A 21168-nucleotide genomic window follows, 5' to 3' on the forward strand; every position below is an offset into this window, starting at 1 on the left:
ACACCACCTTGCCTAGCTTGAAGATCTTTCTTCTAAATGAGCGGGCTTTAAAGTGATCAGTGGGACCTGGGCAGGTTGGCTCTTGCCTATAATCCAAGTGCTTTGAGAGACCGAGACAGGAACATCACTTGAGCCCAGGAGTTCGAGGCTAAAGTGAGCTGTGAGCACACCAGTGCACCCCAGCCTGGGCAACAGAGTGAGACTCTGCCCCAAAGCAAGATAAAATTATCCCACAGGATTTTAGTCCTGACTTGTGTATTACTATGCAGTTGTGTCTGTCTGAGGCTCAGATTCCCCCCCATTTAGGATTTGTGTGGCTAAATCTCAGATCTCATTTTCAGGTGAATTTCTCTATTAAGGTTATAAAAGACCAAAATAACTGGAAATTCAACTCTGTACTTGAATACTTGGTAATGCCCAGCATTCTCTTGACTATCCCATTTCACAGTTTGCCGGTCATTTCCCCAGTGTACTCACTGGATTCTTCCCGCAGCCATGAAAGGTAGGTATAATTAACTCCAGTTTACATTCAGGACAATAGAATGTTCGTCAAAATGCTTTTGCACATGTTTTCTCACCCTGAGTGGCTACACTTGTACAGTCATACCCTCCAAACTCTAAGATGTATACTCTTACATACCAAAACACAAAGAAACAACAGGAAGAACAAAACTCAAGAGGTCTGAGTGACATCTTGCCTTGCTTCACAACTTCAGAGTTTGCATTGCTTTAAAAACATTGGTTATAAGTGAGTGTGGAAACAGTGTGTTCACTATTTTTATGCTGTGGCTGTGCTGTGCAGGAGCTGGGCTTTTCGTGCATTTTAGACAGAATTGACCTTGGTTAATGCTTGACTTGGGAACTATGCAGAAACATCCAGGAAGTGGTGGTGGCTGATCCTGACCGTCCTCAGTTTTGTGAAGCAACAGCCTCTGTGCCTCTTTCTCTGCATGCTCTGTTGACGGTCTAGTCTTGAGAGAGAACCTGCTGCTGTCCCGTCTGTCATAGCCTTCCTAGCAACTCTTAGGCCTGCGTGCTGTGTTTTCATGATCTCCCCCAAAGCGGCACTTTGATGTTTTTTCAGAGTCAAAGTATCACTGTGGATATTTATCCCAAACAAAATTGCAAACTGATCAAATGTTATGTCTTTTGATACCAAATCAAAAACGATTCTTGGTGGCTGATCAGGTTGTCTCCTAAAAATTTGCCTTTTGAACCTATACTGCCTTTATGAGATGATTATGAAAGTAGAAAATAGCCTGTGAAAAATGGTACCTTTGCTAAAAAGAAAAAAAAATTTTTTTGAAACTAAGAGTCTCTGTTGTCCAGGCTGGAGTGCAGTGGCACTATCTTGGCTCACTGCAACCTCTGCCTCCCAGGTTCAAGTCTCCCGAGTAGCTGGAACTGCAGGTGCACGCCACCACATGTGGCTAATTTTCATATTTTTAGTAGAGATGGGGTTTCACCATGTTGCCCAGGCTGTTCTCGAATTCCTGAGCTCAAGCAGTCTGCCCACCTTGGCTTCCGAAGGGGCTGGGATTACAGGCCTGAGCCACCGCGCCTGGCCTGCTGTAAGAAAATATTAAACTTAGGATGGGAAATGTGATCTGAACAGGATTCCTGTGAAGGTACCCAGTGTAGGTCTTAGTCTCCTCTCCAGTGTACATTTATGGAGGGGCAAGATTTCACCATTCTGTGAAGAACTCTGCGTGTTGACGACTGCTCACGCCTAGGGAATAAATTTCAGAGCATGCGTAGATAGTGCCATTTTCTACTTAAAATACTATAATCCATTATTTACTTCGGAAAATAAAAGCATTAAGGCTGAAAGTTTTGGGTTAGTAATCTTGATGTTTTAAAATGCCTTAGCATTCCTTCATTTGTTTTGCTTGCCACGTGGTTTTGCTCTGATTTACACACCTCTGTGCATGGCTAATCCACTGTGCCACTCTTGGGGCTTTATTAACTCTTCTCTGCCAGTTTTTCCCTTAGAGAATATCATGGCCATTCTCTAAGATGATAAATGGGACTAAGAGTAAATGCAGGCTGAAAAAGCATTTAACAGGTCAAGGATCTGAAGCTTTTAAGAAGGCAAAACAATAAATAAGAAACCCAAACAGAGTCTTGAAGCACACCCATCGAAACCCAAGTTTCAGAATTTGCTGCAGCCTTGCTGCCAAATCACAGTAAAAGCTGAAAAGGCTTTTGTGGTTAGTTACGTGTGATACAAGAAATCGATGTGTCTGAGAGAAGTAGGATTTCTCTTTTTGAGGGGGAAAAATACAGCAAGGGGAAATGTTTTATTAACAATAAATATGCGGCTTACCATATCTGTAGGGCACAGATTTGGTTAGTAGTATTTTGGAGGCAGGATAAAGGAAGATCCTAAAATCTCTGTGCTGTGTAGCTTCCATTCGAGCTGCACATGTTAAAAACATTCTAGGATCCACACAGTTTAAACAAGGTGGCTGGCTTAGGAAATGCTTCTCCCCATTCCTTGGCATCCCCACAACCCTATTCCCCTACTTTCTCTTATGTATCTGGACTGGCTTTTAAAAGATATTTAGTGAAATTTAATTTTCTAGGGAAACTCCACTTTGTCAAAAGTGTAGTATTCCTCAAGGATAGCTTTGCTGGTCGGCAAATCTCAGTTGAGTGTATTTGTGGTTTAAAAAAAATTCTTTCTGAATAGAAATACAAAGAGTGATAATGTTTAACATTTTATTTTTTTAAAAAGCTTTACGCTGTGTAAATTGTGGGTTGACTTCATGTTTCTAAACTTTGTCTTTTAGAATGACTCTCTTGGGTAAATTATTAGCAGACACTCTCGTGTTGACATGTCCATTTTCCTTTCCATTAAGCTGTCTCCATTGCAGTTCTGTTGATATGGCTTTATATAGTTTTCCTGAGCTTTTTTTTTTTTTTTTTTTTTTTTTTGGTAACAAGATACCTATGCAAGCTGAAAAACTCTTGGCTTTTTAGTTTGTATCACTTCCAGAAACTTTTAGATGCTACGTATAGAAGTGGCTTTCTTTTAGGGTTAGGTAAGATACTTCCTTTTTTGGAAATAGTTTTGCCATTTGGTCTCGCTGCCTGATTTGTGCTTTTTCTTCTTCAGCAGGTAGTGGGAGGCTGTGTATTGTATTGCCTTTTACCAGACACCCAGAGGGGTCATGTTGGAAAATAGCATCCTCTTAGCAAAAACACAATCCCTTCTCTGAGAATAAATTGCCAAGTCTTTCCAGGTCATTGATGGACTCTCAGGTGCTGCATTTCTGCACGTCGGGGAACAAGGGTGAAGAACAGAGCTAGTCCAGCACTGCTCCGTCCTCCCGCATTTCTTCTTCTGTAGAGTCTTTTGCAAACTAGAGAGTCTTGCAGAGAGTTGTTGGGTTTTCCCAGGAGATACTGTATGCAAAGAATTGTCATGAAGACATAAAATCAAGTCTTGGTGTAAAACTTTTAATAAATTTAAAGGCATGTCTCTGTTTTTCTCCTCCTCCATGGGGATTTTCATGTGGTTAGTAATAAAACTGTAGGCAGTTGTATGTCTAGATTTCTATGTAATTTGTTTGTGTTCGTATATGCACACCTGTATACATGTGCACATGTATTCAAGAAAGACCTGCAGTATGCTTGAAAGGATTGAGGTGCCTAGTTTGTGGTAGTAGCTGAACAGAGTGGGAGGTCAAAGTTAAGTCATTGTGAGGCAAGGGAACTTGACTTAGCCCTTTAAGAATTGGTCTGTCCCTGCTAAGCCAAGGCTATTAGTGTTTTCTTCCCTAGCTGTGTTCTGAAATGGTTCACCTGACATTCAGCTGGGTTGGGGGAGAACCTCTTTAAACATCAGATCTTATTCCGGAGGAGTGTATCCAGCCTTCTCACAGCATATCCTGTTAAATATCTGTTCAAGGTTAGCCTAGGCCTGGAGTATGGACAGCATGAAGCCAGATCTAAAACAGATCAGTTCATGGATAAATGATGAATTTAATAAAATTTGAAAATAAACCCCACATAACTAGTGCTGCTATTGATCATTCATATAGCCAGCAGGAGTGGTGAGAGGCTTGGTCTGCCTGAGGTGTGGAGATGCTTGTGGTGGGGGGCAAGGTGGACGAGGGCTGGGGCTGCTCCTGGAGCATCTTTACGCGGGTGGAGGAGCTCTGACACAGTGGCAGTGTTTGTAACACTTTCCAAAGGGATTAAAATAATTCTGTAGAGTTAACCCTAGGCTAGTGTGGCTTGATCTGAAACAGTCCCAGCCAGAAGGTAAGAACTCCTGTGTTATGTTGTTAGCATACAATTTGCTGAAGTTCACATTTTAAATTTTATATTTAAAAACCAAAAAGTAGTACTGATCATTTTGGACTGTTTCAAAGTGATATTGTTTTTACTTGTTACAAACATTGGCTTGCCTGCATCTAATTGCACTCACAATGGGCCGGATGTGGTGGCTTACACCTGTAATCCTAGCACTTTGGGAGGCTGAGGCGGGTGGATCACCTGAGGTCAGAAGTTTGACACCAACATGGTGAAACCCCGTCTCTACTAAAAATACAAGAATTAGCCAGGCTTGGTGGTGGGTGCCTGTAATCCCAGCTTCTCGGGAGGCTGAGACAGGAGAATCACTTGAACCTGGGAGGAGGAGGTTGCAGTGAGCCAAGATTGTGTCATTGCACTCCAGCGAGTGCAGTGTAAATCCCTTAAGGAAACAGTGTGTTGTGGTAATCATGATATCATAGTAAATAGGTTTTGTTCGTTATTTTTTTCTTTTACTTCCTTTTCTACCAGTGACTAGTCCTAATGTGTTCTAACTTTTGAAAATAAAGTACAAATTAGATGGATTTAAACATACGGGAAGTAAGACGGAAATTCATTACTTTTAAAAAACAATTTGTTGTGGATAAGATTTAGAAATGGAAACACAATAAACTGTGTTTCCATGACACAGGTATACTACCAAGTTCTTACAATGTACCTTTGAGGTAACGAATTTTCATGTCATTTGGAGTAGGGCTGGGCCAGTGAGTCACTCATCTCCTTGTTCATTCATTACGTGAATACCTAGTAAATGCCCACTAGGCACCCTGGAGTCATTTGTGTAGAGTGGCATCTCTATACAACTGTTCGACTAACTGTCGGAGACACCCTAATCACCCCAGCCACAAACAAATAGAACATTGTATGTGTGCTGAATCCCACAAAGGCCAGACATGATGCCATGAGACCAAGAAGGAAAAGAAATAATGTGGAAAGGGTTTGGGGTGGAAAGGTGGGGAACCTGGAGGCGGGCCACATGGGGCCCCAGAAGCCATGTTGAGGGTTTTGTCTTCACCAAAGGATCAGTGGGAGATTAGTGTAGAACATTAAACAGAGGTGGGGTATGTGTCATATTTCCATTAAAAAATTCATCCTGGCCACAGTGTAAAGAATAGATTAGGGAGGAAGCCAATCAGGAAGCAATTGGAGTAGGCAATGCAAAAGGCAAAGTGAACTTGGACTAGTGGTGGAGATAAGTTGACTGCAGAGAGAGTAGGAAGTAAAATTGGCCAGGCCTGTGTTGGGGGTGGGCTTGTGAGCAGGATATCAAAGATAATGTCCAGGATTCTGGCTTGGATGACAACTATGGCAATGCCCATTACTGAGCTAGGAGATGCTGGAGGAAGATCAGGTGGGGACTGTGAGCATGAGTTTGATTTTTGCAGATACTGGGTTTGAGACACTTCTGAGTCAAGCAGGCATTTGGAAATGTGGACTGGTGCCGAGAAGGAATTCCCAGCAGTGACTTGGTTTAGGTGGTCCTGGAAAGTAGAAACACACATGAGATAATTCTGGGGATGGAGCTTAAAGGGACGTCAGCGTTCAAGGGCCAGGTAGAGGATCATGAGCTGTAAAGGGACCCAGGTGGCTCCAGCACAGCGAGGAAAGCATGCGAGTGTGATGGCCAGGCTTCCAGGGAGAGAGGAGGGTTTTAAGGAGAACAACGTGCTAAAAGCCACTAAGAAGCCAAGCAGAGTGAGAAATGAAGACCTCCACTGGGTCTTGCAAGAGGGGAGGCCTTTGAGGACCTCACCTGAGAGCTGATGAATGAAGTGATGGCTGGAAGCAGCTCTGGAGAGGGAGGAATACTGTGGGGAGGGGAGGAACTGAAGAAGTAGAGAAGCATGGCTGTGCACAGGGGAGGTGGGATGGCAGCCAGGGAGGAGCAGAGGTGGAATGTGGATCTTGTTTTCCCCAACAGAGATAGAGGGGGGCTAAAAGTCCATGGAAGGGACTCTGCTGAGAGGGAAGGGTGGATCCATGAGACAGAAGGGGAGAGCTCCAGTAAGGACCCAGAGGTCTGAGGACAGGCCAAAGCACAGATGGAGGGATTAGCTTTGGATGGTAAGAGGAAGGACAGATGGCCCCTTAAACATGACGGTAATGCAAACTGCTCTGTTTTTTTTTTTTCTTTTGGCGTTTGTGATGAACTTTGTATATGCTTTCCTTGTTTGATCCTTATCAAACCTTATGAGAAGAAACTACCATTCTCCTCATTTGATGGATGAGGACCCTAAGCCCTGGAGAGGCCAGGAAACATTCCCAGAGTCCCTCAGGAGGAGGACTAGTGCTGGGCTCCTTTCCTCCTGTTCTGCTGCCTCTGAGAGGAGCCAGGATTGAATCGTAGCCTTGTCCTCTGACCTGGAGGTCTGGGAGTAACTCTCTTATGACTTTTTTAGCCTAGTAGAATTGAACATGAACTTCATGTTTTAAGGGATGGTTGCATTTGTTTGAATGGTCACTTCTTTTTCTATCAGTATTAGCTAATATAGGGAGAAGGAAGTCATGCTTCTCAAGTAAAGCAACAGTATCTGTGTATCCATTTACTTGATTGAGCTTTCTACTGAATTACAGGAGTTAAATTATACTTTGTTACACTCTTGATATTACAAAATGATGGCCATGCCTTTATTATAAAATGACACCAGTTATTCTTTCCTGGAGGATGTGCCTTGTGTCACTAGCCGCACTAAGCACTTCCCCACTAGTGGCCCCATGTGGTTGTGTGTCATCGCTGACTACCTGTTACAGGTGAGGAAGCTGGGTGGTGCAGAGACAGAAAGCCGGTGGCCCAGTCAGGAGCTCCTAAGTGGCAGAGCCCTGTCTCCTGGGTTCCTTCTCCTGTCTTTCTTGCCTCTCACTTGAAATAAGAGAGGACATCAGAACTGGCCTGAATGGGGCCCTGGTAGGGCAGGAACAGGACACCTCTGTGGTTTTGTTATGATGTCCTGAGGATAAAGGAGTGAAAAAAAAATCTTTGAGGAATTGAAGATTTCTTTATGAAAGATGGCTGAAACTCCTGACAGCTTTTCAAATTCATCTTTGGAGAAACTTCCGTTTTCTCTTTCCTGTTCCGAGGCTTAAAGCTGCCCTGAAATCTACACATTTATCAACAGTCTCTTGTCAAGACTCCAGGGAGACAAGAACTCTTATACATTGCTGTTGAGAGTGTAAAACGGTACAACCTTTATGGAAGGCAAATTGGCGTTATAAATGCGTGTTACCTTTGACCCAGAAATTCTACTTCTAGGAATTTATCTTACCAATACACCTGCCCACATACAAATTGCAGCATTGTTTTTGATAGTAATACGTTAGAAATAACCCACGTGTTCTTCAGTGGGAGACTGGTTAATACACTAAGATATATGCACAAAATGGAATGCTCTGCTGCTGAGAGAAACCACAAGTATGCCCTGCACCCCTGTGAATAGATCTCCAGTATATTAGGTGGAGAAGGCAAGGCAGGCTTCTTTTTTGTAAAGTTAAGGAGGGTAAATAAGACTGCATGTTTGCATCTGCTTGTATTTGTGCAGACTGACACTAGAAGGGAAACCAAGTAACTGAAAAACACGATGATTCACCGGGGTAGGTGGGGAAACATCTAGGTCGGGACAGGTATGGGAGTGACACACCTCAGTGTACATCTTTGTATCATTTTTAAAAGTCTGTGCTTGCATTATGTATCAAAACTTAGTGCTATCTCCTCAGGTGCAGGGTTCTCTGGAACTCTGTCTAGGTTGGTCTCTTGGATGGCATTCTTGCAGACTTGCCGGAAAACCAAACAAAAGGTGTGAGTGCATGCCTCCTGGATAGATGTCTTTTTAGTGTAACTTAGCACACCTTGTACACTGTCAGGGCGCCTCTCAGATGAGTCATCCCGGCAGCCCCTGCTCCATGAGTGTCTTCCCCACAGTCCTGAGTGCTTCTAAAATCATCTACACCAGTGGAGGCAAAACTAGATATTTTCTTAGTTTGCAGAAAGGAATATTTCCAGACAACATGAACTTGTTCTCCTTTGGTCTCCTTTTCCTTGTCATTGTTCAAGTCACAAGGTCTGCTGATTAAATTTCCCCTTGGGTTTCAAAAGAACTTGCTTGTTTGGTTGTTGTGTTTTGCCTTTTAATTTGAGAGTTGAGGCCCCCAGGTGCATGTGGTAAAGAATTCAAAGGGCTAAATGGGTGTGTGTTGTTCGTTATTTCTTTGAACCTCTTGGCACTTGAATGGTGTCAGTAATTTCACTAATTATGGTTGGCAAAGAAACTCTGACACATGGCTTTGGAGCTGTGTTGTTCTTACATCATATCTCTTGAGTTGAACCTATGCTCTCTTGATGGATGAACTCGTAATTCACCAGGTGCGTGGATCGCTGTGATTAATTGTTTCAAGCTATCAGTTATTTAACTCTCTAGTGCCAAATGTTCAGGAGAAAATGTAAGTGCAGTGTAATGTAAAATCAAGCCGGCAACTCCAGCAATTTGCTCTTCAAACTATAGCTCTATCAGTTCCCATTCATTTATACACTTACACTATTCAATTTGTCGTTGTTGTTGTTGTTGTTGTGTTTTTGAGACAGAGTTTCACTCTTGTCACCCAGGCTGGAGTGCAATGGCATGGTCTCGGCTCACTGCAACCTCCACCTCCCGGGTTCAAGTGATTCTCCTGCCTCAGCCTCCTGAGTACCTGGAATTACAGGCACCCACCGCCACACCCAGCTAATTTTCTGTATTTTTAGTAGAGACAGGGTTTCACTATGTTGGCCTGGCTGGTCTCGAACTCCTGACCTGGTGATCCGCCCGCCTCGGCCTCCCAAAGTGCTGGGATTACAGCCACTGTGCCCTGGCACTACTCAATTTGTAATAAATCAGGGTAAGTTATTTTTGGTGCCAAGTCGATTAATTGAATATAGGTTATTTTGCATCTTAGATTCCCTCTGACGACTAAATCTTATAAGCAGAGGTATGTGAGCATGAGAACTGTGTCGGGTGGTCCTGAAGAGATTAGTGGATTAGAAGGAGATTTGGAGATTTTTAAAAAAGCCTCTGGACAGTGAGTTAAATGGTGGGTTGACACTCTGTGGTCGGGACTTTTTGGAGAGTCTATAAAGTTCTGCTGTATTTCTCAAGAGCTAGAGAGAGATGATACTATGACCAAATTTGGTTTGAATGTATTATAATGTACTGAGTATCACTAATTTGTTGGGAAATGACTGTTAAAAATACTTACTGACGCTTAAAAATATCACCTATAGCATTAGTATAAGTAGCCAACTGATTTACATATATTTCATGTGTGTGTTGGGAGAGGGGTGTGGATTCGTTAGGCCAAAGATTTCGGTAATATATTTGGAAGAGATAAATGAAGATAAAGAGATAAATTACCTTTTGAATAATTCCAAAACTAAAAATGCTTCCCTTAATTTTTATTTCTGATTTTCTTATTTCTATCAGAGAAATGTTTCTCATGTGACAAATATAATGCTTTCATATTTACTTCTGCATGCACAACTTTTAATTAAGTATTAATTGATTAATTTTTTAGAGACAGGATCTTGCTGTGTCATCCACTTTGGAGTGCAGTGGTGTAGTCATAGCTCACTGGGACCTCAAACACCTGGGTTCAAGGGATCCTCCTTTTTCAGCCTCCTGAGTAGCTGGAACTACAGGCATAAGCCACCTTGCCCAGCAAATTTATTATTATTATTATTTTTGTAGAGATGGAGGTCTTGCTGTGTTGCCCAGGCTGGTCTCAAACTCCTGGCCTCAAGTGATCCTCCTTCCCCAGCCTCCCAAAGTGCTGGGATTACAGGCGTGAGCCACCACATGCAGTCCGTGTACACTTTCACACCTTTTAATTTCTTTACTCATTAGGTGCATTCTTTAGCAATTATGTGTAAAGTGGAAATGAGCGTGCAAATCGTCATTTTCTATTGACTTGCACTCCAGAATTGGAAAATTGGAAAACTGTAGGAAACTGGAAAATTAGAAAACTGTAGGATCTAAAACAAATCGCTTCTATGACTTATAATATTCACTTGTAGAACTCACTGGCCTTTGTCAGCTTTCAGAGTATGTGAACACTTTTTGCCATGTAAGTAGTTAGTCCATTGGCAATGGATATATGTAAGTTGGTATCTTCACTGCAAACATTTAGTTAATTGCGTTTATTCTTGAGCCATTCTTGCTCTACCCTTAGGACTTGATTTTCAGTAGCTACAGTGGTTATTCCAGAAGTTGTTAGAATTAAGAGCCAGGAGGAGGTACTATGTAAGCTACATTTAGACTCCACTGGACACTCACATATTGCACGTGGAATATCTTAAAGGGGTTGTGTGCTGTGGTCAGGGTGGGAATTATCTCTTTTCTTTCCATGAGACCTCCACTGTGCATTATTTAAGGGCCTGTCAATTGCCCGTTATTCAAGTTTTGTTGTTCTTGGAGGACACTATTGCCTATTTCTTTCCTTGTTTAAAAAATTTCATTTAGGTAGGCTTAGCATAGTTGCAGTAGAATTTAATAAATCCTTTTTTTTTTTTTTACAGAATAAATCTTTTTATTACGTAAATACCCTTTAATTTGCCTATTTTTAAAATTCTTGTTTCTGTGCTTACCTTGTTGTTAGACAGCCAAGGGGATATGCTGCTCTTTTTAGTGCCAAGGTAAAAGGTAAAGCTGTATCTTAAATATTTGTATTTCTCTTTGGTCTTGGTGACCCAAAGTGATTTGGGTCATTCTGACATTTAATCAAGTTTAAACAACATGGCTCTTAGAAGTATGTTTACCAGGTAATCTGAGGGCTGGTTACCTGGTAACGCAATTGAGAAATTTCATCAAGACTAATTGATTAATTTATTAAGCACTTATTGTCCAGTTTGCCTTTAATTTTCATTTTTCTAAGTTTCCATTAGCTATCATGGCCTCACTTGTTATTTAATAATGAATGGTTACAAATTGTTTGTGTGTTTTTGTAATTAGAATGTAATAGCAATCGTCTACCAGATGAGCTGACATTGTAATGACATGAAGTCAGTAACAATTATGCCTTACAGGAAAATTAATTCTGTAATCCTATCATCCCATATTTTGCCTAAGAGATTCGATTTGGCTGCTGCTAGGCTGCTTAGGCAGGTGACAGCATGGTGGGACACTTCTCATTTTTCTGGTTAGACTACTTAACCATAACGTTCATGGTGCCACCTGAAAAAATAATTTTATCGTTTTAGACTTTTAAAATATTTTTAGGCTTTTTTTTTTTTTTTGGCTTAAAAAAAGAATCTGTTCTACTTGGGTATTTTGTTCTCCTTATTTCTTAGTGAACAAAGATATTTGCTCGACTTCTATCCCAGAAGGACCATCCTTTCTTCTTCCTTTTCCTTACCTCTAAGGGATATGAAGCTGTGAGAGGGAATTGCATATAGCAATACCATTTTGATTCCAGTGAAAGTTCTTACCTTTCTCTTTTGTCATTCTCAACCTCTTACCTGAAGAGTCCATTCCCTCAGTATATAGAGCATCTGGAAGTCTAAGGTGCAGGCAGGACTGAAAGAGCTGAGAAAGGCCTCACATCAGGTGACACTGGGGCACCTGGCTGTGCTCCCTTGTTGGGGGGTCCCTTGGCCTGGGCAGTTTTGCGCTTCTCCCTGTTTCCCTGTGCCCTGAGACTTTGTGGGTCACAGGCAAGGGGGCTGGCCTCCCTGATCAAGGGCCCTTGGCCTAGGAGGGCCCCTGGATTTATCTAGTCCAGCTTCTCGTCGTCCAGGTGCAAAACTGATGCTCTGAGATGTTTAGGGATTTGTCCAAGAGCAGAGTTGGAGCCACAGTCCAAATCTTCTGAGCCTAGTATGGTATTCTGTCATCCTTGGTTTCATTTTGTTCTGTTCATAAAAATTGCCCAAAACTGCTGGGCAAAGTGGCTCATGCCTGTAATCCCAGCTCCTCAGGAGGCTGTGGAGGGTGGATTGCTTGAGGCCAGGAGTTCAAGCCTAGCCTGGGCAACATTGGGAGACCCTGTCTCTTAAAGAAAATAATTGCCTAAAACTATTCAGGGTTAAAAATTTGTCTCTAAGCTTAAGAATTTGGAAAAACTCAGAAAAGTAGCCACCTATAACTCCAGCATTCTGAGAACAGTTAAGTGTATTTTCTTCTAGTTTTTTGTTTGTTTTTGAGACGGGATCTTACTGTCACCCAGGTTGGAGTGCAATGGCGTGATCACTACTCACTGCAGCCTCTACCTACTCAGGCTCAGGTGATCCTCTTCACCTCAGCCTCCCGAGTAGCTGGGACTACAGGTGTACACCACCATGGCCAGCTAATTTTTGTGTTTTTTTTGTAGAGACAGGGTTTCATCATGTTGCCCAGGCTCATCTCAAACTCCTGGCCTCAAGTGATCCACCCACCTCGGCCTCCCAAAGTCCTGGGATTACAGGCGTGAGCCATCATGCCCGGCCTTCTTCTAGATGTTTAAAACAAACACATTTTAGTGTAGTTGAGCCTCTGATCGTTACATGTTTATTTCCTAGCATTTAAAAGCCTTTCAGCGACATACACTCCTTATTAGCTTAATTTTTTCTTTTAAGAGCTGTGTTCTTGCTCTGTCACCCAGGCTGGGGTGCAGTGGTACCATCGTAACTCACTGAAGCCTTGAGCTCCTGGCTTAAGTGCTCTTCCCACCTTAACCTTCTGATTAACTAGGATTACAGGTGTGCATCACCACGCCCAGGTAATTTCTAAAAAAAAAAGTTTTTTGTAGAAGTGATGCCTCGCCATGTTGCCCAGGTGTCTGTCTTGAATGCCTGGCTTCAAGCGATCCTCTCCCCTCAACTCTCAAAAGGCTGTAACCCTGATTTTAATGGTAGTGTAAAGTGACATGGGATGAAGGAACCGTAACATTCTTAAAGTTTCCCCATTGTTGGGCATTTGCATTGGTCCCAGTTTTTTATAAGTAAAGAAGGCTGCAGCAAACTCTGTTGTACTACTTAATCTTTGTCCTTTATTTCAAATTATCTCCCTACAATACGTCCCTTGAAATAGGATTTCTGTGGAAAGGTATCAGTTTAAAGCTCTTGACCCATATGGCCAAGTTGCTTTCCAAACAGCTTACCTGTTGAGACTCGGACCTATGCTTCTAAAGCCTATGTGTGAAATGTTCACATTGTCTTTGGGAGAAGCTTCCCACGAATAAGAAAAATAAGGGAAGAACAAATAACATAATTGTTTGGATATATGCTGTGGTTTGTGTGGACGTCTCCCACCCTTTCCCTTCCCCAGCCCAAGTCAGTCTTCTGTATAAACAACTTACATAATACAGACTCTTCACTGTTTGTATTATACATGTATTTTGTGAGTCTGTGTCAGTATTTGTTTACACGGGAATTAGGGCATCAGGCTGTCTTCCTAGGGTTCCTCTGTGCAGACTTGTAGACAGTATGGGTTCTTTGCGTGCTGAGTTGAGGTGGCCCCAAACCTTTCAGACAGTTGCTCAGATACCTGGCAGTTGCTCATTTACCCTTCCAGACCTTCCTGCCTCTATATTAGCCAATGACAAGCAGATGCTTTCCACAAAACATTCGTGTGTGAACTGTTGACATTTATGACTGTTTTCTGAGCCCACACCAGGTCATTTTTCTATAAAATCAGAACTGTGAGAGCTCAGGGCATGTGGCCATCCTGGATAATGGGTCCTGCTGTCTGGGGAGTCGTTTTCATCAAAATTCACTTTTAAAGAATAGAGTGTTTATTAACGAAAATATGTGAGCCTTGGCTGGGCACTGTGGCTCCCGCCTGTAATCCCAGCACTTTGGGAGGCCGAGGCGGGTGGATCACAAGGCCAGGAGATCGAGACCATCCTAACGCGGTGAAACCCCGTCTCTACTAAAAATACAAAAAAAAAGTTAGCTGGGCGTGGTGGCGGGCACCTGTAATCCCAGCTACTCTGGACGCTGAGGCAGGAGAATGGCATGAACCCGGGAGGCGGAGCTTGCAGTGAGCGGAGATTGTGCCACTTGCACTCCAGCCTGGGCGACAGAGCGAGACTCCGTCTCAAAGAAAAAAAAAAAGAAAGTATGTGAGCCTTATCCCCCAAATGTACCTGACATGTGAATAATATGGCTCAAACTAATGATGTGTATAATATTAAATTGACTTTGTTATTATAAGTGATACATAATTCAATTTTAGTTAAAATGCATTATTTCAATCAATATCAAATATTGCAGAAGGAAAACCTAAAATAGTAGCCAAAGTTACTCAGATGAGATAAAGAATATGTTTAGGGCTGGAAAATCATACTATTTTTTTTTTTTTTTTTTTTTGAGATGGAGTCTTGCTGTGTTGCCCAGGCTGGAGTGCAGTGACATGATCTTGGCTCACTGCAACCTCCGCCTCCAGGGTTCAAGCGATTCTCCTGCCTCAGCCTCCCAAGTAGCTAGGACTACAGGCACGTGCCACCACACCTAATTTGTTTGTGTATTTAGTAGAGACAGGGTTTCACCATGTTAGCCAGGATGGTCTTGATCTCCTGACCTCGTGATCACCTGCCTCGGCCTCCCAAAGTGCTGGGATTACAGGTGTGAGCCATTACGTCCAGCCTTTTTTTTTTTTTAAATAAAGAGGGTCTCAGGCTGGCGTGCAGTGGCACGATCTCGGCTCACTGCAGCCTTGACCTCCTCTGCTCAAGCAATCCTCCCGCCTGAGCCCCCCAAATAGCTGGGACCACAAGTATGCACCACCATACCTGGCTTTTTTTTTTTTTTTTTTTTTTTTGTATTTTTTGTAGAGACGGGGTCATTCTATGTTGCCCAGGCTTGTCTCGAACTCCTGGCCTCAAGCGATCCACCTGCCTTGGCTTCTCAAAGTGCTAGGATTACAGATGTGAGCCACTATGCCTGGCCAATAATTATATAAATTTTGATATAAATTCCTGCTCTTCAAGGAGATGTGGGTTTTTTTTCCTCCTGAGAGTATATTTATAAAGTTAATTGGATTTTATACAAAAGAAGCTTTTGACTCATTTCATTTAGCTTTTAATGTTATCATCTGGGAGGAGATGGTGAAGAATTCTGTTAGCCAAACCATGGCGAATTAATGTTTCTTACAGATGGTTTTATTACTTTTTATGATATTATTTGGATCATGAAACAAGTATCTTGGAAAATGTGAGATACAAAGATGTGAGTTGGGAGGTCTCTCTTGTATGTGAGTTCCTTCTATAACAGAGAAAGGATACTTTCAGTTTAAGCTGAGATGCTTTTTCCTTTTCACTCTTGAAAAGTCTTTGTTGCAGGAATTTTCTGTGCCCTCCCTCCTCTGGGACAGATCTGCTTCTTGATACTGCAGGGCTCCAGCCTTCCTTCCAGCCAGCTCATTTCTCAGGGAAGCCTTGTTTTCCTTTTTCAGAAAATTTAAATGTATATTTAACGCACAATTTAACTCCCTTTCCTGTTGATAATTTTTTTCTTCTTCATATTTTGTTATTAATAATAGCTTACAGAATGGGATCAGTATCAGGATCGGGAGGTAACCAGGTCTCCAAGTTTTCCCTTTCGTTTTTCTTTTCTGCTTTTAATGAGCCTTAATTAATCCAGGGAGCTAGGCTGCAGTATCTGTGGCTCTCCCTGATGTTTTCTTTCTGCCTTTCTGTCTTGGAGGGGAACCTGAGGATTTGGAAGTAGAGGGCTCTACTAGTGCTTCCTTTTTGTCCTTTTCTCATTGTCCAAAAGAGTCTTAAGCGATCTCCAGGAAATCCCCTGCTCCTGCCAGGAATCTGCCTGTGAGTATTTGAGTGAGTTGCTGCTTTTTAAGTACCAGTTGAGAAGCTGAAGGTTGGTGTTGTGGTTGTGATAAACTCCCAACATGAAAACTGAGGACCACCAGCGTTTTCAGCTCACCTTTGACTCACGCTGGCAGCTCCAGGAACACTGAACAGGAGTCCCCACTGAACCTTTGCTGCGTTCCGAAGCAGCACAGCCATGGTTAGGCACTGCCAGGCAGCTCTTGGAAACCACAGGGAGGGAAGTTTTGGTTCCTTCTTTCTGTCTTTGTTTTTGAGAGGAATGAGCTTGGAATAAAAGAACGCTAGTAATGACTGATTTGCAGGTTAGGTGTAAACATTAAATCCTCATAACAGGCTAATGAGAGGTGGGAGAAATTATCCCCATTTTACAGATGAAGGAACAGAGGCTCCTAGAGACTAAAGAACTTGCTACTCAATGAGGTCAGGATTCACACCTAGGTTGACCTGAGGATAGCTGCTGCAGTGCTCACCCTTCCTACCTTCCCAAGAAACAATACGCAGAGAATTTCTTTTCTAAATATTGTGTGCCTAGAAGGTGCTTTGTGTTATCGAAACAGATATATATGTGTATATCTGGTCTCTTTAAAATTCTCTTTAATAAAAACAAAAAGTGATGCTAGTGTAAAATAAAAGATATATATAGAAAATTGTGTGTCCTCGTTAATCTTCTTTAGGAAAGATATATGCATATATGCAGTATAGTTTTGGGTTTTTATAAAAATGAGATCATGCTATTAGTATAGTGAATAGCCTCTATATAGTCTTTCGTAACATTTTTACTTTTTCTCGGTGTATGGATATCAATTTAGGTCAGTTGCTGCGGAGTTTGAAACGAGTTAAAATTTCAGCAGTTCACAAAATGGATGATTCATAGTTTAGTCGAGCCATCATCTGTTGATGGACAGTCATGTGGTTTCTTGTTTTTTCTTTCTCTGTGTTTCACTAATGAAACAGGATTACAGTAAATTGACTCGTGTATGTGTATACATCCATCTTTGCTGGTACTATAGAAAAGTGTATTGCTGGCTGGGCATGGTGGCTCATGCCTGTAATCCCGGCAATTTGGGAGGCTGAAGTGGGTGGATCACCTGAGGTGAGGAGTTTGAGACCAGCCTGACCAACATGGCAAAACCCTGTCTCTACTAAAAATACAAAAATTAGCTGGGCGTGGTGGCAGTGGAGGCTGAGGCAGGAGAATTGCTTGAACCCAGGAGGCGGAGGTTGCAGTGAGCCTACATCGTGCCACTGCACTCCAGCCTGAATGACAGAGCAAAACTCCATTGCAAAAAAAAAAAAAAAAAAAAAAAAAAAAAAAAAAAGGCATTACTGCCTTGTTCCTGATTTAAATAAAAAAATGTGTTTTAACAAGGAATATGTTAAGTTTTGGTAAATATAGTTTATCATATTTAAGTTGTGTATACTCATTCATGTTTTAATTTTTATCGGAAGAGGCTGATGAATTTTATGAAATGCCTTTTTGGCATGATATAATTGTGAGCTTTTGCTTTTATTTGGTGGTGTAATAAATTACGTTGATTAGATTTCCCAATATTGAATCATCTTTGCATTCCTGGAATAAGCCCTAATTTGTTATGGTGTGATAATCTTTGGATATGTTGCTATTTGATTTGCTAATATTTTTTTAAAAATTGTGACTGTAGCCTACAAAGCCCTACAGATAGGGGTCTTTAGTTTTTTTCCTTGTTTGCATTCTATCAGGTATTGATATTAGGATTATGTTTTTTAAATAATTTAAGAAGAATTTCACCCTTTCCCAGCATCTAGAAGCATTTACATAATATAGGAAATAACCTGTTTTTTTTTTTTTTTTAAGTTAGAGTAAAATTAACTGGAAAACTTCATAGGCATCCCCTGTAGTCCCATCCCAGAACATTTTAAAACAAATTTTTTAGTTTTTCAGAATATATTATAGTTGTTCTGTTCAGCTTTTAAGCCTTTTCTCTGGATTTTGATATTTTCTACTTGCTGGGAAAGAATTTATCTACAATTTGAGTTTATCGCACAGTTATTTGTAATATTGTTATCATTTCTCTGGTAATCATAACCCTTTCTCATTACTAACACATATTTTTGCTCTTTTTTTGCTTTTTTCCCCCTTAATCAAGTTTGTTAGAAGTTTATATATTTTATTGTCTTCAAAAAACTAGGTATATTAATTTTATATTTATCCTGCTTTTAATTTCATCTCAGTATTTAATTTTTATTCACTTTTTCCATTCCTTTAAGTTTATTAAGTTGAATGCCTGTCTCATTTGCTTTTTAGTCTTCTTAAAATAATGGCATTTAAGGCTATACATTTTCTTTGAAAATTGCTTTTGTTACGTATTTTTGGTTTTAGACAGTTGATCTCCTTTTTGTTGTTTTCTAGATGGTTTGTAATTAAAATATTTATTTGATCTTTGATTCTGACATTACTTAGAAGTATGTCTGTCCTTGAATTTTTCTTTTGCTTACCTTTTGATATTGTTTATATGATTTATGAATGCAGCTCTGAGGTATCTGAGAGGATTTATTAACGTTTACTTGCATCCAAGTACATGATTAAGTTTTAATTGCTTTGTGGACATTAAAAAATTATGCCCTTGGTAAAATGCAAAGGTTTTATTTTCTGTATTTAGTAAATCAAACTTACTGATTGCATTATAGTCAGATCTTCCAAATTCATGTATGTTTTCAGTTGTCAAATTGACAGTTAATGATGCACCTTTTATAATTTTTTTTTTTGAGACAGAGTTTCACTCTGTCGCCCAGGCTGTGTAGTGCAGTGGCGTGATCTTGGCTCACTGCAGCCTCTGTCTCCTGGATTCAAGTGGTTCTCCTGCCTCAGCCTCCTGAGTAGCTGGGATTATAGGCACATGCCACTGCACCTGGCTAATTTTCATATTTTTAGTAGAGATGAGGTCTCACTATATTGGCCAGGCTGGTCTCAAACTCCTGACCTCAAATGATCTGCCTGCCTTGGCCTCCCAAAGTGCTGGGATTACAGGTGTGAGCCACCACACCGGGCCCCTTTTATAATTTTTAAACTTTTCATATTTCCAAGAGAAATGCTTAGTGTATTTATCTGCCGTTTTGCTTGATGCATCAATATGTGTAATTTTTTTATTTTTCAGGGATTACATATTTATCACATGTAATATCCCTCTCTGTCCAGTTTAATGCTTAATGGCCTTGAGTTCTTGGTTTGATTTTACTATTGCCAGCTTTGCTTTCTTTTTACTTGACTTTGCTTGGTATACTCTTGTTCAATTGTTTGTTTTTAAATAGAGCTGGACTTTTAAAACCCATTGAGACATTTTTGTTCTCTAATAGGGACGTTCTGCCTTGTCTTTCTTTACTGTGATAATGCATACATTTTGCTTTATTGCTTTCATCTTATTCAATGGTTGCCATTTATTTTACTTTCTGTTATTCTCAATTCCCATGTTAATTGAACAAGTCCTTTGCTAATTTGAAAAGTGTGTTATTTTCAAAGCTACCGGTGCCTAACAATTTGAAAATCTGTATTTTTCTCCTGAAATAGGTACCAGCATTAAATTACTAATTCTTCCACCAGGGTTTGCATTTCCGCAATTTCTGCCGTTCCCATGACTTTCTCTGTCTCCTGGATGTGTTCTCTGTCTTTTCACTCATGGATTCTAGTAGATTCTTATTCCTTGCTCTTGGGCGCTCGCATTTCTTCTTCTTAATCCTCCAGAATCTGATACTCTAGAGCAACAGATCTTTTCTGTTCAATTTAAAATTTTAAAGTGTTTTTTTTTTTTTAATTCCTGAAAGTTTTTATACTCCAATTGTGTCTCCACATATGCTCTTAGACTCCTCTTCCCGTCTAGTTCTCCTTTCTTGGTTCGATTAGTTCTGTTTCAGCTGGTGCCACCTGTTGCAGCTGAGCTTGGTCACCCTCCCTCAGGCTCCTGCGTCGTCCTCAGTGGGTCATGGTTTTTCTTTGCTTGCCGATGGCTGCCCTCAGCCGTCACACAAGTCATGGGTTAGTGTCACTCAAGGAATGGCAGACCAGCAGATGGTAGGTGATAAGCCAGGAAACAGATACTGTGCCGCTGAGTTGCTCTGTTCCCAGTCTCTTCCGACAACATAAGGCTTGGGAACAGTTCCACCTTCCATGGAAGCCCCCCTTCCCTCTGGTTTCACCTGGGACAGCAGGATGAGCAGGGTGCAGGGCCTTCTTCCCTGTGGATGGACTCTCAGTTACAATGACCATGGAGAACTGTACCCGCTCTCTGTTTTGGAGATTTGGGAGATCCTGAGGGCCTCAGAAGGCCCTCACTCTCATCCCATGCACTACCTGTAAGCTCATTAGATTACTGTCCTTGTTACTTTAGAGAGGGGACTGTGAGGGAGGCAGGACCAAGTATGTTTATTCAGGCCACTGTCTTCCCCATAAAGACTATATTTGTGTACATTTTTCTTTGCTGTATTGTGAGAAGGAGGTAGAAAAAAGATGTGCATGTCTGCATTTGGAAACAGTTCTGAGAGTGGTGCTGCATCAGCGGGGCTGGATTGCCCTCAACTATAAGAAAGTGGGATACTTATATAAAGGAAGCATAATACAGCATGTTTCTCTTACAGGAAGGACTGTTTCTTAGAGTCCTCATCCTCTGTCTCCATCACTCAGTATAGCAAATCATACATTCCATCAATGTTAATGACATCAATTGTATGCCTGTAAGTATGTACACACGCACAGGGGCAGGGGGCACTTCTTCACTCCACAGCTGGAAAACTTGGGACAAAATGCCTAGCCAGCTTGGCCCAAATTTGAGGGTATTGCCATCTGTATCTCAGTGCAGGTGTTTCTGTCTGATGTTCACAGTCTGTTTATCCAGAGTGCCCCAGAAAGGACAGTAGTGTTAGGTTAAACCTGTGTATGTCTGTTCTTGGTTTTAATAACAGTCCTGTCTTTGGAATTATTTAGTGTGTTCTCTCATTTCTCAGGAAGTCAGGATGTTAGTGCCGAAGCACTTCTCTGACTTGGTCCGACATTGAAGTACCTTCCCCTGCATTACAGAAGAACGGCCC

The 21168-nt window shown here is 41.4% G+C and overlaps 1 protein-coding gene across 7 annotated transcripts in view, besides 2 other annotated features; it reads left to right on the forward strand.

Annotated features, from left to right (window-relative positions):
- The window catches only part of IGF1R (insulin like growth factor 1 receptor), a 315992-nt gene that overhangs the window by 89786 nt on the left and 205038 nt on the right, over positions 1–21168 (forward strand). The gene's annotated exons all lie outside the window — the stretch shown is intronic.
- Positions 19696–20197: an enhancer, noted in NCBI's record as "H3K27ac hESC enhancer chr15:99301249-99301750 (GRCh37/hg19 assembly coordinates)". NCBI's record gives its function as "activates a minimal SCP1, AML or CMV promoter by ChIP-STARR-seq in naive H9 embryonic stem cells {active_cell/tissue: H9 hESC(naive)}" and the evidence as "EXISTENCE:reporter gene assay evidence [ECO:0000049][PMID:30033119]".
- Positions 20198–20697: an enhancer, noted in NCBI's record as "H3K27ac hESC enhancer chr15:99301751-99302250 (GRCh37/hg19 assembly coordinates)". NCBI's record gives its function as "activates a minimal SCP1, AML or CMV promoter by ChIP-STARR-seq in naive H9 embryonic stem cells {active_cell/tissue: H9 hESC(naive)}" and the evidence as "EXISTENCE:reporter gene assay evidence [ECO:0000049][PMID:30033119]".

Source organism: Homo sapiens, chromosome 15 (genome assembly GCF_000001405.40).
Source record: "Homo sapiens chromosome 15, GRCh38.p14 Primary Assembly".
Taxonomy (NCBI): domain Eukaryota; kingdom Metazoa; phylum Chordata; class Mammalia; order Primates; family Hominidae; genus Homo; species Homo sapiens.